The sequence below is a fragment of the Homo sapiens genome, chromosome 3 (assembly GCF_000001405.40).
Source record: "Homo sapiens chromosome 3, GRCh38.p14 Primary Assembly".
NCBI classification, from domain to species: domain Eukaryota; kingdom Metazoa; phylum Chordata; class Mammalia; order Primates; family Hominidae; genus Homo; species Homo sapiens.
Window position 1 is genome coordinate 153,128,229 of NC_000003.12, and position 17,270 is coordinate 153,145,498.

Genomic DNA, 17,270 nt, shown 5'->3' on the forward strand with positions numbered 1-17,270 from the left:
TTTGGTGCACCCATCACCCAAACAGTATATGCTGAACCCAATTTGTAGTCTTTTATCCCTCACTCCCCTCCCACCCTTTCCCCTAGGTCCCCAAAGTCCATTTTATCATTCTTATGCCTTTGCATCCTCATAGCTTAGCCACCATTTATAAGTGAGAACATACAATATTTGGTTTTTCATTCCTGAGTTACTTCACTTAGAACAATAGTCTCCAGTTCCATCCAGGTCACTGCAAATGCCATTAATTTGTTCCTTTTTATGGCTGAGTAGTATTCCATCATATATATATATATACTACAATTTCTTTATCCACTCATTGACTGATGGGCATTTGGGCTGGTTCCATATTTTTGCAATTGTGAATTGTGCTACTATAAACATGCACGTGCAAGTATCTTTTTTGTATAATGACTTCTTTTCCTGTGGGTAGATACCCAGTAGTGGGGATTGCTGGATCAAATAGTAGTTCTACCTTTAGTTCTTTAAGGAATTGCCACACTGTTTTCCATAGTGGTTGTACTACTTTACATTCCCACCAACAGTGTAGAAGTGTTTTCTTTTCACCACATCCACACCAACATCCATTATTTTGTGATTATGGCCATTCTTGCAGGAGTAAGGTGGTATCTCATTGTGGTTTTGATTTGCGTTTCCCTGATCATTAGTGACGCTGAGCATTTTTTCATATGTTTGTTACCCATTTGTGTATCTCTTTTGAACACTGTCTATTCATGTCCTTAGCCCACTTTATGATGAGATTGTTTATATTTTTCTTGCTAATTTGTTTGAGTTCCTCGTGGATTCTGGATATTAGTCCTCTGTCAGATGTATGGATTGTTATATAGCTGCTGTTCCTGCATTCTAGCAGCACCAAGTTCTGAGAGAGACATGGTGAGCTTCTCTTGTTCTTCTGATAAATATTTCTGATACAGGCTTAGAAGTTCTTGGCATTCTCTATACTGTAGCTGAAGAGCTTCCCTTTCTTTGATGATCAGTTCATTCTGTTCTTCTAACTGCCTGATCTTCTTCTCAAATGACTCCTGCTCAGCTTTCAATCTTTCCTCTGTCACTTCCTTTTCCTCATTTACTCTGGCCAGTTCTTTAATTAAGTTTGCAATGCATCTTTTGTCTTCAAGACATAAATCCTTCAATGATGCACTCTTTATTTCTCCCCTGCGGGAACTCTGTTCATCTACTGAATCTCCTGCACCTTTTAAAGACTCCATGGAGATTGAAGCATCAGTCGCCCTGGAAGTCTTAAGTTTAACATCAGCTTTTGGACTCATCAGCATGTGTCTTGATCTGACATTTCCTTCAGTAGAAATTCCTTGAACGTACACTACGGATTGTTCTTCTTCAGAAAAGTCCCGGCTCCAGAACGCCGTGGCGCCGGGGCGGGAGGGGCCCGCCACCTTGAAAACGACATGTTTTATTTCTATTTTCATTTGTTTCAAGAAATTTTTAAAGAAAACTACACTTCCTTATTGAACTCTGAAAGCAGAAGTTTAAAAACATTTTATATGTTTTATACACACACACACACACACAAATAATAAAAACTATTAGCAACATAGTATTCCATAGTATTGTTTTCAAGGATCCTGTGTCAAGAAAAGTAATGTTGAGTGATAGAATTTTTTGTTTTTGAAACAGGGTCTTGCTTGTTGCACAGGCTGTAGTGTAGTGGTGTGATTACGGCTCACTGCAGGCTTGACCTCTTGGGCCTCAAACAATCCTTCTGCCTCAGCCTCCTGAGTAGCTAAGACTACAGGCATGCATCACCACACTCCGATAATATTTTGATTTTTTTTATTTAGTGATAGGGTCTTGCTATGTTGTCCAGTCTGGTCTTAAGTTCATGGCTCAAGCAATCATCCGTCTCAGCCTTCCAAATCACTGAGATTACAGGTGTAAGCCACTGCACCCAGCTGGAAATTCTTTTTTTAAGTTTATTAAAGTGTCTTGGTTAAAATTTTATTTTAGGCAGTAAATGTATTTTTATGAAACTTATATAGAGTTAAAATTCTAAGAATTATACAAAGCCATGTTTTACTATCCCACTGGGAAGTGTGGGTGAAAACTAACGCACTTGCCCATCTTTAAAGTCTTAAAATCAACATTTGCTTAGGCCCAACTGAAACACAGTAAAATCATTTTGAAGCTCTCCAGATTTTTTTAAGAAAAATTTGTACGTTTAGATATATGTAAAAATGTTCTTGTTGAAAAAGCACTGTGAATGGCAAGATTTGCTCTCACTTTGACTATCAGTCCATGACTTACAACCTTTTTACACATAGTTTTCTATTAGTAGTTTCAGTGGGAGTACTCTATAAATAAAACTATATTAGATTCTAACACTTTGATAAGGAATACTAAGGAACCTCAACATGAGTATCCCTCAGATATTTTCAGAGCTTTCACTAAATCTTAATTACCAAGAAGTTACAACAAGGAAGTTTTCAGTTCCCCCCTGAGCTGTCTTACTCATCTTTAAGCATACTAAAATTATGACTCACATTGTTTTTACTTCTTTTTAAGTAGTTTCTATAGCATGGTCTTAAGGGCCACAAAATTTCAGTGATAAATGCTCATTAAATTGAATTGGTTCACTAGACTGATGATAGATGGAGTGGAGACAGAGCCTTATGCCCAAATCAGACTCCTTAAATAGAGAAAACCTCAGCTCAGAACTTGCTTTTGTTTGCTTTGTGACATCATTGATGAATTTTAGAAAACAAAAATCTGTGACATACTCAAAATGATCAGAGCCTTTTTAGTTTTACTCGAGCTCTGGCTTTCCTGTGATTGACGACAGCACTGAAGACTTCTCTTCAGTGCATTTCTGTCTCACATATAATTTCTTGATATTGCATGATTTAAAAAACATTTTCGTCATTACAATTTAGCAAAGTTATTGAAATGTGCTAGGAAAAAATATTTCATGATAATTTTTGTATCTATTTTACATTTGGAATGCAAATTATTAAATATAAATCTTTCCTTTTATTAGCCTTTTTTTTTTTTTTTTTTGAGATGGAGTCTTGCTCTGTCACCCAGCCTGGAGTGCAGTGGCGCAATCTCGGCTCACTGCAAGCTCCGCCTCCTGGGTTCATGCCATTCTCCTGCCTCTGCCTCCTGAGTAGCTGGGACTACAGGCACCCGCCACCATGCCCGGCTAATTTATTTTGTATTTTTATTAGAGATGGGGTTTCACTGTGTTAGCCAGGATGGTCTCGATCCCCTGACCTTGTGATCCACCCGCCTCGGCCTCCCAAAGTGCTGGGATTACAGGCGTGAGCCACCGCACCCGGCCTTATTAGCTTCTTACATATTTTTCAGGAATGCCTTTCCCAAAATAGAATAGCAAGGAAGATTGTTTAAATGATAAGTATCTGCTTTTAGCGATTGTGACATGTAGGCTTCTCTGGAGGCTGTGAAATTTGGGATAATTATTCTTAAATCCATATTACCTCTTCACATATAAATGACTGCCTAGGCTACATATGGATGAGTGTTTTCCATTTTTGGGGCATGTCAGAACATTCAGAACTGATTTCCCTTTCAGCCAGTCAGCAAATATGTACAGCATGCCTGTAAATATTGCATTTCCCACTAAGTAAAGGTCTAGAACACTTTTCCCTTGACATTTTATTTTTCTTTCCTTTTTTTTTTTTTTTTTTGAGACAGAGTCTCACTCTGTCACCCAGGCTGGAGTGCAGTGGCACGATCTGGGCTCACTGCAAGCTCTGCCTCCTGGGTTCACGCCATTCTCCTGCCTCAGCCTCCCGAGTAGCTGGGACTACAGGCGCCCACCACCATGCCCGGATCATTTTTTGTATTTTTAGTAGAGACAGGGTTTCACCGTGTTAGTCAGGATGGTCTCGATCTCCTGACCTCATGATCCACCCACCTTGCCCTCCCAAAGTGCTGGGATTACAGGAGTGAGCCACTGCGCCCAGCCTCTTTCCTTTTTTAAGATGGGGTCTTGCTCTGTTGCCTAAGTTGGAGTGCAGTGGTGTGGTGCAATTATAGCTCACTGCAGCCTCAAACTCCTAGGCTCAAGTGATCCGCCTGCCTCAGCCTCCCAAGTAGCAAGGAAGTGCATACCACCACTCTTGGCTAATTTTTTTTTTTTTTTTTTTGAGACAGGGTCTGGCTCTGTCACCCAGGCTGGAGTGCAGTGGTGTGATCTCGGTTCATGGCAGCTTCTGTCTACCTCCTGGCTTCAAGCGATCCTCCCACCTCAACCCCCTAAATAGGTGGGACCACAGGTGCGCACCACAATGCCTGGCTAATTTTTGTATTTTTTGTAGAGACAGGGTTTCACCATGTTGCCCAGGCTGGTCTCCTGGCTAATTTTTTTTTTTTTTTTTTTGGAGACATGGGGTCTCACTTTGCTGCCCCAGTTGATCTTGAACTTCTGGCCTCAAGTGATCTGCCCGCCTCGGCCTCCCAAAGTGCTGGGATTACAGGCTTGAGCCACCATGCCCGGCCACCATTGCATTTTAAACATATTAAAATGAAGTCCATCTTCACATATTTTCAGATGCTTTTCTTTATATTCCTTTTACTGGGCAACACCAACCTACCAAATGTTGTATTGTAAGTGTTTTGAAACACATTTTAGTGTCTGCAGCAATATTACTTCACAAAAGCAAAAACGTCAATTTAGAGAGTAGTATTTTAAATACCAGCTTAGTTTTGTCTGTTATCACCCTTTCAAGATGGAAAGAAACAATACTGTATATAACCTCTCCTCCACCCCATTACCCACAAATTGTCAACCAGGGGATTTCTACCCTTAGCTTTGACATTAGGAAGGCTGATAGGACACTAGAACCTGAAGGTCAATAGGGTCATTATGGGTCCAGAAATTACAATTAGCCTGGTTACTCCAGATCTTTGGTGATTGCCTCATAAAGTGGGAAGGACATGCAGAAAACTGGTTCATTAAGCCATTCAGATGCAAAAGAGGCTGAATATATACACCAGAAAATTAATTAATCAATTAATATTTTTTTTGAGGCAGAGTTTCGCTCTTGTCAACCAGGTTGGAGTGCAGTGGCATGATCTCAGCTCACCACAACCTCCACCTCCCAGGTTCAAGTGATTCTCCTGCCTCTGCCTCCCGAGTAGCTGGGATTACAGGCATGCGCTACCATGCCCGGCTAATTTTGTATTTTTAGTAGAGACGAGATTTCTCCATGTTGGTCAGGCTAGTCTCAAACTCCCAGCTTCAGGTGATCCGCCCACCTCGGCCTCCCAAAGTGCTGGGATTACAGGCATGAGCCACCGTTCCCGGCCAATTTATTAATTTAGAATTAGGGGTTAGAATGGTGCATGTGCAATGAAAAAAATAAGATCCTAGGCCAGGCGCAGCGGCTCATGCCTGTAATCCCAGCACTTTGGGAGGCCAAGGCAAGCGGATCACTTGAAATCAGGGATTCAAGACTAGCCTGGTGAACATGGTGAAACCCCATCTCTACTAAAAATACAAAAATTAGCCAGGCATGGTGGCACACCCCTGTAATTCCAGCTACTCTGGAGGCTGAGACAGGAGAATCACTTGAACCCGGGAGGCAGAGGTTGCAGTGAGCCAAGATTGCGCCACTGCACTCCAGCCTGGGCAACAGGGCAAGACTCTGTCTCAAAAATAAAAGTAAATAAATAAATAAGATCCTGTGGTGGACTGCCCCTCTCCTTGCTACTTCTAGACATTATGGCCCTCAGAGACCATCACGTCACCTTACAAATTGCTGGGAAATGCTACCAAACTATTGCTCTCAGGTTCTGTTTTACCTAAATTCTTTTTTTTTTTTTTTTTTGAGATGGAGTCTCTCTCTGTCGCCCAGGCTGGAGTCCAGTGGTGTGATCTCGGCTCACTGCAACCTCCGCCTCCTGGGTTCCAGCGATTCTCCTGCCTCAGCCTCCTGAGTAGCTGGGACTACAGGCATGCACCACCACACCCAGCTAATTTTTGTATTTTTAATAGAGACAGGGTTTCACCATGTTGTTTAGGCTGGTCTCAAACTCCTGGCCTCATGTGATTCGCTCGTCTCGGCCTCCCAAAGTGCTGGGATTACAGGCGTGAGCCACCACACCCGACCCTATTCACTTTTCATTAGTCAACCTGGTGGTCCCTTGCTCCCAGAAGGTCACCATATTGATTCTCCACTTAGTGTGGACACCTACTCCACAAAGCACACTACAGCTCAGGACTCCTGGGCTCAAGTGATCTTTCCTTCTCAGCCTCCTGGGTAGCTGGGACTACAAGTGCACATCACCAAGCCCGGGTCTTATTTATTTTTTATTGAAATATAGGTGTTTTTTTACAGTAAAGTGCCTGGTCTTAAATGTAAAGCTTGACAGATTTTACGTAAGTATATACCCATGTAGCCATCACCTGGATAAAGATACAGAACACATCCAGCACCCAGAAGCTTTCCTTATGCTTATCTCAGGCAGTCCCATTGCCCAAAGTGAACTTCTCTGTTTTGAAGTATATTTCCTGGATGCAATGGTTGTATTTTAACTGACTCATCCTGATCTCAACTAGGAAAGTGCTTTAATCTCATTCGAGTCTTAATCCCATTGCAGAATGGATTAATTTTGGGAAATTTTCCTGTAAAAGGTAACCTTGGCCATACAACGTGGATTTTACCTAAACTAGAAAAATGATATGCATTTAAATTGTCTTTCTAACTTGCTGTCTTGCTGTTTTGCTCCCTGATTTTAATGCCCATGTACCTGTCTCCCCCTTCTCCCCCTTACCTTATAGCTATCATCTATTTCCCATAGTGCTGTAGTTAAATCTCAGGGAGAAGAATTGGGCTTTGTGGCAAAGAACAAATCTAGAGAGGAATGAAAGTCGAGGATAGTTTGGAGTCACGCAAACGGAGAAGCATGTTTAGGAAAGTAATAACTAGTAACATGATCTAGGGAGGTAGAGGAATTAAAGATCTCTTGGAGGAATAAATTAGTGAAAAAGGGAAGTATTGTGGGTAACATTTAATAAGTCAAGAGTCTATAAAGTTCACCAGTCCCAGCAGTGAGATGAGCCAATTCATTCACTGGTTTGGCTCTGTCACCCAGGCTGGAGTGCAGTAGCGTGATCACAGCTCACTGTAACCTCTAATTCCTGGGTTCAAGCTATCCCCCCACCTCAGCTTCCTGAGTTGCTAGGACTAAAGGTACTCATCACCACTGCCAGCTAATTAAAAAAATTTTTTTTTGTAGAGACGGACTCTTACTATGTTGCCCAGGCTAGTACTGAACTCCTGATCTCAAGTGATCTTCAAGCCTCAGCCTCCCAAAGTGTTGGGATTACAGGTGTGAGCCATTGCCCCCAGCCACAACACCTATTTAATGTGCAATTGTTGAGTATGCTTCAGGACCAGCAGTAGTGCTAAATACTGTAGTATGTGTTGGTGTGAGGAACCATTTAGCATCTTGTGTTCCCCAAACTGTCTTTTTATGTCTGTTGTCTAAGCAAGCTTTGCCTTTCAATTTAGAGCATACTATTTGGAAGTGCTACTAGAAAGTGTCTTCTGACCAACCTATTAGCTAATGCAGGATTGGATGATGCCAGAAACCATTTAGAAGTCTTATGGACAAAGGTCTTCCAAATTGTGGGCTCCTTTCTTCTAAATAAATATTAATATGATGATATGCATTCAAAATAAATTTATTTACTTTTTTTTGTGGGAGACTGGAGTTTCATTATTGCTCTAATCAGTCTCCTCAAAATAACAGTTTATGTTGCATATCCATGAGTTAGAGTATTCCAGCAAAATACTTGTTATATATTTATTTATTTATTTTTGAGACAGAGTCTCACTCTGTTACCCAGGCTGGAGTGCAATGGTGCAATCTCAGCTCACTGCAGCCTCTGCCTCCCAAGTTCAAATGGTTCTCCTGCCTCAGCCTCCCCAGTAGCTGGGACTACAGGCATGTGCCACCATGCTGGGCTGATTTTTATATCTGTAGTAGAGACGGGGTTTCACCGTGTTGGCCAGGGTAGTCTCAAACTCCTGACCTCAGGTGATCCACCTGCCTTGGCCTCCCAAAGTGCTGGAACTACAGGTGTGAGCCACCGCGCCTGGCCACTTGTTATTTTCATGTAAGCAGTTAAGGGGAAAATATTTGTAAATAAATTTGTAAATAAATTTGTAAATAAATTATACATAGCATATTTTTCTTTGTATTGCTTCCTCTTTAAAGTACTAGTACTTTTCCTAAGTTCTACTTTTTCAATAGCAAACTTACCCCTAAATTAAATTAAAACAAGATTAAAGCCAACTTGATTCTTTTTCATTGTTTTTCACAGAATTCTCTAACTTCAAAGTTTATTCTTGTAATTTTCTAGAAATACTTCAGGTTAAGTTGATGTTATGGAGAAGATGTAATATCTACAATTAGGGCTGGTCGAAGTGGCTCACACCTGTAATCCCAGCACTTTGGGAGGCCAAGGTGGGCAGATCACTTGAAGCCAGGAGTTCAAAATGAGCCTGGTGAACATGGCAAAACCCCGTATCCACTAAAAATGCAAAAATTAGCCACGCATGGTGATGCACATCTGTAATCCAAGCTACTCGGGAGGCTGAGGCCTGAGAATTGCTTGAACCTGAGAAGCAGAGGTTGCAGTGAGCTGAGATCGCACCACTGCACTCCAGCCTGGGCAGTAAGTGAGCCTCTGTCTCAAAAAAAAAAAGAAAAAAAATCTACAATTAATTTTTTTAGTTATTTTAAGAAAGTAAAAGTTTGCATGTATTCAACCTGATAATTTTCTCTTTTAAAATTAAAACTAGTCCTAGTGAAGTTATAAACAGAATTTTTTTTTTTTATACCAGTTTCACTCTTGTTGCCCAGGCTGGAGTGCAATGGCGCCATTTCGGCTCACTGCAATCTCCGCCTCCCGGGTTCAAGCGATTCTCCTGCCTCAGCCTCCCCAGTAGCTGGGATTACAGGCATGCACCACCATGCCCAGCTAATTTTGTATTTTTTAGTAGATACAAGGTTTCTCCATGTTGGTCAGGCTGGTCTTGAACTCCTGCCCTCAGGTGATCCGCCCGCCTCAGCCTCCCAAAGTGCTGACATTACAGGTGTGAGCCACTGCACCCAGTCTAAAAAATTTTTTTTAAGAAAATTAAAAAATAAGAAAAATTAAAACTAGGTTCAGTGAGCCCCTTGGTTAAACCACTAGGCTGAAATTAGTTGAATAAGTAATTAGTTGAATACATTTGAATGAAAATCTTTAAGAACAATCTTGAGGGAGATAAAATGTCACAAAGGCTTAACACGACCATCTGGAGTCTGTATGTGTATACAGGAGGAAGAAATTATTCTGTTTTTTTTTTTTTTGACTTGGTGATTAATGTTTACAAGCTCCATTGAACTACTTCTCTCCCAGAGGCCACCTCTGTAGTTACTGCCCAAATACCTGATGCCTATGAAAAGGACCCCTTCCCCATTTGCCATGTGAAGAATATGTGACTGTAATAGTCTATCTTTCACCAATATTATAAAAGGATTCTGTTGTATGATTGAGGAACTAACAGAAGAGTGGTGAGATTTGATATCATGCAACAAATGCTCACTTCCTATTACTCCAGGTGGTAAGAAAGTGGGGGTAAAGTCTTATGCGAAAGAGAGTGTGATGAAGTTTCAGGAGAGGCAGGAAATGTAAGTAAGTTAAGAAATTCTTTTTTTTTTCTTCTTTCTTTTTTTTTTGAGATGGAGTTTCACTCTTTTCACCCAGGCTGGAGTGCAATGGCACGATCTCAACTCACTGCAGCCTCCGCCTCCTGGATTCAAGCGATTCTCCTGCCTCAGTAGCTGGGGTTACAGGCGCCCGCCACCACACTTGGCTAATTTTTGTATTTTTAGTGAGATGGGGTTTCACCATATTGGCCAGGCTGGTCTCAAACTCCTGACCTCAGGTGATCCTCCAGCCTCAGCCTCCCAAAGTATTGGGATTACAGGCGTGAGCCACCTCGCCTGGCCAAACAATTCTTAAAAGAAAAACATTCTAGGGACAGATCCTAAAGCAAACAGGAAGTGATTGGAGAAGCGGAGGACTAAATATCTTTGGAAAAAACTTCAGAGGCCTGAAATCTAACTCTAAATGCCAGTGGGTGTGGAATGTGAGTGGACCAGGTAATAGCCAATATGGGTAATGGCTACAGACCTCCCTTCTAAAGCATGACCTCTTTCCTTGGCCAGTACATGCTAGTACATACCCTTAAGTAGTTCTAGGGCTCTTAAGGGAACCCTTGAGTCAATAGCATTCCTTTGGTAACCTTTATCTGGGGCCAAAATGTTCCCCTCCTTGTCATGATGGGAATAGAATACAGGAATTGCAAGGAAATGAAGGTATGCACATAATTTAGGATAACATTTTGATACCACATCATAATTTATGAGAATGTTGCCCAAGGATACAGTGCATAAGTCTCATTAATGGAAACTGCTGTAAAGAACCTCAGTGGGTGAAACTACCCTGCCCATTTCCTATGATACTAAGTGCAGTGTGTTCCAGAAACCAGTGGGTAGGGAAAGCATGACTCGGCATTGCCATGGCGGAAGCTGGCAGGGAGGAAAATCCCCAACATGTTCTGTCAGGTCAGCAGTCAGTTTGGCTATAAACAAGTAAGATTGCAATGTTGTGAGGTAATCTTAGTCTGACTCAGTCCTTTGTCAGAACCTCACAGGTTACTTTCATGAATCTTTCCTGGAGCAAATAAAACAGTTTCACAACGATGCCATATTTAAATGTTATGTCTCTGCTTATCCAATTCTCCACTTATCCTTTCTTTTATTTACTTTTCTTGAAATGGGTTCAGTCATAACATCAAGCGACAGAAAAGAAAACAAAGGAGGAAGCAGTGTAACCTTCCTCTCTTTAAGTCCCATTTATCTCTCTACCTGAGGCCATTGTGTGCAGATACCTGGGAAAGTGGATGATAGAGAATAAAGAAAGCATTTTAAAGCAGAGGCAACCTTCAAAATCACTGCATTCAATTCTCTAAATTTATAGATGAAAAAAATTGAAGGCCTGAAGAGGAGTGACATGCCTACATTACACAGCAAGTTAGTGGAAGAACCTAAATCGTAATTCCAGTGTTTTGATTCTAATCTGTGTCTAAAACCTTATAAAGCTGAAAAGGCCTCGGAAATTATGAGGCGGAAGAGTTCTCATGCTCTACTAACATTGTGTTCCAGAGAGGTCTTTTCTTAGGGTACAAACTAACTAAAATGGTGTTGTCATTGCTTTTGAATTGGAGGGAGTTAGCAGTCCACCTTCAGTCCTCAGTCCACCCTGAAGCCCACCTTCAGCCTGAAGCTTCTCCTGCTAGAGGAGGCCCTTCGAGTGCTGCTCCAAAATAATTTGGAAAGTATGGATGCTTCCTGATGCTTTTATTGTACTGATAAGAACTCTGAGGCCTAGTAAGGTGAAGTAATCTGTGCACTGTCCAGGAAACTCAAGGGGAAATGTTAGAATGCATAGACTGGCAGCCCTTGGGCCGGGCGTGGTGGCTCACGCCTGTAATGCCAGCATTTTGGGAGGCCGAGGCAGGTGGATCACCTGAGGTCAGGAGTTCGAGACCAGCCTGGCCAACACGGCGAAAACCCGTCTCTACTAAAAATACAAAAATTAGCTGGGCGTGGTGGCGGGCCCCTGTAATCCCAGCTACTGGGGAGGCTGAGGCAGGAGAATCGCTTGAACCTGGGAGGCGGAGGTTGCACTGAGCCAAGATGGCACCACTGCACTCCGGCCTAGGTGACAGAGAGACTCAGTTTCAAAAAAAAAAGGCCGGGCTTGGTGGCTCACGCCTGTAATCCCAGCACTTTGGGAGGCTGAAGTGGGTGGATCACGAGGTCAGGAGATCGAGACCATCCTGGCTAACACGGTGAAACCCCGTCTCTACTAAAAATACACAAAATTAGTCAGCCTTGGTGGCGGGCACCTGTAGTCCCAGCTACTTGGGAGGCTGAGGCAGGAGAATGACATGAACCCAGGAGGCGAAACTTGCAGTGAGCCGAGATTGCAGTCACTGGACTCCAGCCTGGGCGACAGAGCGAGACTCCGTCTGAAAAAAAAAAAAAAAAAAAAAAAAAAGATAGCCCTTCGCATTTTAAACAACTAAAAATTTGAACTAAAGTGGAGTTTTGAATTTATTTCCTGGATGCTAAAGAAAAAGAGAAAAAACAATTCACACTGTCTACCAAGAGGAAACATCCAGCATCTAAAGAGAAAGTCATAGCCTTCCCTAAAATCAAACCCAGAGTTCTCAGTACTGTACATCTCACAAGACGTACACATTCTGCTAAAGTGTAAATATGTGAAGTGAATCACTCTACCCCTGAGTGCACATACATGTCTTTTTATGAGCTTTAGGCTATAAAATTCTAAGGTCATGTAATATATATAAACAAATCAAATATTTTCTTAGTTACTCATCATTCAAAAATGACTGGACAGATTTCTTTTAAGAAAAGTGGATAATATTTTGGGGATGGTCTGGTTTCTATTATATGCACACATGAAATTCATTTTAGAGGCCCTAAAGACTATTACAATTTATAACCAGTCACCTTTTTAGAGGGACTATTGGTGAACCTCCCTTCTCTATTGAACATTGGAGACAGACATGCCCTTTGTATTCAGATGCTGCTATGCACAGATAAAACAAATATGGTTTTAGAAACATGCAGCAAAGATCAATAGAAGCCACAGGGCATTTGTTAAACCACAGGCAATGAGTCACGTAACAGCACTAGGGTAGTTCACTAATATTACACATTTTTTTTTTTTTGAGTCGGAGTCTCGCTCTGTCGCCCAGGCTGGAGTGCAGTGGCACAATCTTGGCTCACTGCAACCTCCACCTCCTGGGTTCAAGTGATTCTCCTGCCTCAGCCTCCCGAGTAGCTGAGATTACAGGTGCCCACCACCATGCCCACCTAATTTTTGTATTTTTAGTAGAGACAGCTACTAAAATACTGGTCTTTTATCGGTCAGGCTGGTCTCGAACTCCTGAGCTCAGGTGATCCACATGCCTCGGCCTCCCAAAGTGCTGGGATTACAGGCATGAGCCACCGCACCCCGCCTATTCCACATGTTTTAATGAATAAATCACTCAGGTTTATTAGATTCTCTTGCTCTTTTTTTTTTTTTTTTTTTTTTTTTTTTAGCATGACCTGCTCCCCAACTCAGCTCCAGACCAAAGACCTCAACCTATTAGCCAGGTCTCACCACAGCAGGGCAAACTCTATATTTATCTCATTATTTGAATGATAACATAATTTTTCTCTTCATGGAATTGCCTTGCAAAATGGTGACTCTTAGCTGTAATAGCGAAACACTGTGCTGTAATTCTGGAATGGTAATTTCTCTTCACATCAAGATCACTCCTCTCTGGAACGCTGTAGCTTAAAACAGGACAAGTCACTGTGTATTCTGAGTGTAGGGCACTGAAGGGCACCTGAGCACATTCTCATTACCAAGTGTGACAGCTTACCCCCATTAGAAGTGGAAAGAAAATGGCTTTGGAAACTTAGATTTATGTAGGAATTCTCCTGAATCTTCCTCTGGGCTAAAAGATGCATATATGTACAGTTTACTATAGATAATTCCTAGGGTTCAATTGCTAATGGGTAAAAACTCAAGACCACTGGCATTGCTGGGAGACAGATGAACTCTAAATAATAAAGAAAGTGTGGAGTCAAGCCTCCAAGTGAGCAGCGAATATAATCAATGAAAAGCATCACTAGAGGGGAAAGAACTTTTGTGGGGATGGAACTTTCAGAGATCCATTCTTCCCTGGGAGCTTGTATCTGATTCAGAAGTAAAACCACAGTGGAATCACCGAACTTCTGTATGGGCCTGGCATCATCATGTTTTCAAAGCTAGATAAAGCCATCCAAAAATTAGAGAGCTCAAATAAAAATTAATATCCTTAAGTAGTGATGATCCTATTTTGTGAAAATGCCTTCTGTGTGTAGTTTATAATCTTGTGAATTGTTGCTATCAATTCTAATAAGAAATGGGTTTCCCTCATTCTGCCTCACCTATAAAGAGGGATATAGAAACAAGGTAAGGGGCTTCATCCCACTGGCTGTTGTCCAATTATTTTTTAATAGTCATTCAATAAATATTTTATAAGCTCCTCTTAGTACATGCAGGTATTTACTGATCTGGACACTGGGGATATAGACAATGTCCCTGTCCTCATTAGGCATATAGGAGAGCAAGCAAATTAATAAATAAAAAACATAATTACAGGCCAGGCATGGTGGCTCATGCCTGTAATCCTACCACTTTGGGTGAATACCTGGTGTTAGAAGTTCAAGACCAGCTTGGCCAACATGGCAAAAACCCATCTCTACTAAAAAATACAAAAATTAGCCAGGTGTGGTGGCATGTGCCTGTAGTACTGGCTACTTAGGAGGCTGAGGCATGGAATCACTTCAGCCTGGGAGCCAGAAGTTGCAGTGAGCCGAGATTGTGCCACTGCACCCTAGCCTGCGTGACAGAGTAAGACTCTGTCTCAAACAAACAAAAAAGAAACATAATTACAGATTTGATAAGTGCAATGTAACAAGATATATTGTGTGAAATGGGCTATAGGAGGGGGTGACAAATGTTTCCTGGGAAGGGCCATGTGGACTGTATGTGGGCTGTTGTATCTTTGTTGCCCCTACTCCACTCTACTGAAGAAGTCTAAAGGCAGCCATAGAGCCAATATACATGAATAGGCAGGGCTGTGTTCTAATAAAAGTTTATTTATTGACACTAACATTTGAATTTCTTACAATTTTCACGTCATTAAATATTATTTATTTTAACCATTTTTTTAAAAAAAGGTTAAAACCATTCCTAACTCATGAGCTGTACAAAAACAGAGGATCAGATTTGGCCTGCAGACATGCCCTCTATATTAACTTCTGGCTACAGGGTTCAGGGAGAAGGGAATGCTGTTGACATAGATAGAGGTTGCTATGGCCTCTCTGAAGAGGTAACATCTTAGTGTATGAGAGGAAACCAGTTATGGGAAGAGCTGAAAAGAGAGTACCCCAGGCTGAGAAAACAACAAATGCAAAGACCCTGAAGCAGTTGGGGCTCCTAGAAACCACATGTTCTATATAAAAATTTATTAAGAGACAAAACAGTTAAGCTGAAAACCTTTAAAAATAGGTCTTACTGTATTTGTGGGTATTGATCCCTGGTCATTAGGTGACAAGTGTTGGAGAAAGGGATGCCATAGGGCATAAATAATCCTTCAATGAAATTGTATAGTCTCCTCCTGTAATTGTCTCCAGCAAAGAATAAAAGGTTGATTTTTCCCACCTTGCATATGATTACTTAGCAGAGTAAGAGAAGAATCATTTAAAATCTTTGTGTCAATTAAGATAAATTATCTTATAGAAATGGCAGACATTTTTCCTTGAATTATTTTAATTTATGTCTGTACCATCGAGCAGGATTTGTAGTTAAGTTACATGTACAGATGAATAAAATATTCTTATTTCTGTATACATTTAAAAGTCTATTCATCAGGCTGAGCGCTGTGGCGCATGCCTATAATCCCAGCACTTTGGGAGGCCGAGGTGGGCAGATCTCTTGAACTCAGGAGTTTGAGACCAGCCTAGGCAACATAGTGAGACCTCATCACTATTTAAAAAAAATTATTTTCAGTCTATTCATCAGTGTTTTACTTACATGTGAAAGGCGTTTATGCTGCCACAGACTTGTAAACTGGCTCTCTGGGCAGTATGATTGGAGATATCCATAAAAATGAATGATGAATAGATATGTCCAAATATTAATACTAATAGTGGTTTTTCTGAACCCATACTTCATTTGTGATTTCAAAGCTTGGCATAAGAAAAAAAAAAGAAAAAGATTACTTGCAGAGTCACCTTATGTAGGAGAGAGATGATACTTCTGTCTATATTTTGAATCTGTGACAGAAATCCAAATCTTACCCAGATGCTGGTAAAGAGGAACATTTTCTTCATTTGAGAAATAATACCCACAGAACACACCCATCTGTCTGTTGTAAGAAAATGTCCAAGTCACATGTTTATCAAAAAAACCCAAAGTGTTAGCGAGAGCTAAAACATGCCCAGAAAAAAAATTCAAAGAAAACAGTGGGTAATAGTGTTTTAAAATGTGCTCCTGGTGAAAATGGTATCTAGGGTGTCTATTACATAAAAAGTGCCTCCTAATATATTACATTTACAATGTTAAAAGTCTTAAAAAGATGACTATGAGATTCGTCTCAGATGTGAAACAGAAAAATCTTGAAAGATATCACAGAAAAATGTTGAATGATATCATGAAACACTTGGTGTCTATTTCAAATTTTTACCAGGTGAACAAACATACCTTAGTTTGTGTAGAAACTTTTACCTTTGTTACCTCGCATCACTGAATAGTTTAAGGACTTCTGATGTGTAGGATTTTGAGCATTTTAGGTTTTATAATGGGTTATGATAATCTTTGGAAATAACTTCAATTAAATTCAATAATCACTTATCTAATGCCCTATAGGGTCCTAAATACGAAATAAGACTGAAATATTTCTCCAAGATTTCATGTTCATCAGAAAAAACAATTTCAAAGAAGTCTGATTTGAAGCAGGGAAATTAAAAGCTATAATACAGAAAGTGCTAAGGGAGGAGAGGAAGGAAATGGTTAATTTTAACAGAAGAAATCTAGGATGTTTCATAGATGAGCTGGCATTTGAGCTGAGCCTGCAACAAATGAAAATGCAAAGGGAAGCATTTTAATACATGGGAAAACATTTTATATGTTTTTGAGCAGGAAGTGGTCTGGTCAGTTCTGATTGCTTTTGTTTTTCACATTAAAAATTGTAAAATACATAAACTTATAGAAAAGTACTTATATTGTAAATGTTCAACTTCAGTATTTTTCTGAAACAAATATATGTATGACTCCCTTCCTCCCAAGTTAAAAGAAAAGAAAAGCATTAACAGAACCCCAGAAGCCAGTCCTCAAATTAGGGCTGGCTTCATGGGTGTCTGCAACTTGAGCAATTGCACAGAGCCTGGTACCGAGAAGGGTCCTCTGCTTGGTTTTATGTTCTGCTGTTGCCATCTTGAAATTCATAATAATTTTTGAATAGGGGATCCTATATTTTTATTTGGCATTGGGCCCCACAAATTATGTAGCCTTTCCTGCCCCCAATCCTCATTCTACAACATATCCAAATGCAAAGTTCCTCCTATGGTGCTAATCATTATTCTTT

General features: G+C 40.8%; 1 pseudogene, besides 3 other annotated features; it reads right to left on the bottom strand.

Moving 5' to 3' along the window:
- KIAA1328P1 (KIAA1328 pseudogene 1) lies at window positions 842-1,412 on the bottom strand (annotated as a pseudogene).
- Window positions 9,841-11,040: an enhancer, noted in NCBI's record as "P300/CBP strongly-dependent group 1 enhancer chr3:152855858-152857057 (GRCh37/hg19 assembly coordinates)". NCBI's record gives its function as "activates an origin of replication core promoter dependent on BRD2, BRD4, P300/CBP, MED14 and CDK7 cofactors, with strong dependence on P300/CBP, by STARR-seq in HCT116 cells {active_cell/tissue: HCT116}" and the evidence as "EXISTENCE:reporter gene assay evidence [ECO:0000049][PMID:35650434]".
- Window positions 10,534-10,663: an enhancer, noted in NCBI's record as "active region_20713". NCBI's record gives its function as "activates an Ori minimal core promoter by ATAC-STARR-seq in GM12878 lymphoblastoid cells {active_cell/tissue: GM12878}" and the evidence as "EXISTENCE:reporter gene assay evidence [ECO:0000049][PMID:35858748]".
- Window positions 10,684-10,793: an enhancer, noted in NCBI's record as "active region_20714". NCBI's record gives its function as "activates an Ori minimal core promoter by ATAC-STARR-seq in GM12878 lymphoblastoid cells {active_cell/tissue: GM12878}" and the evidence as "EXISTENCE:reporter gene assay evidence [ECO:0000049][PMID:35858748]".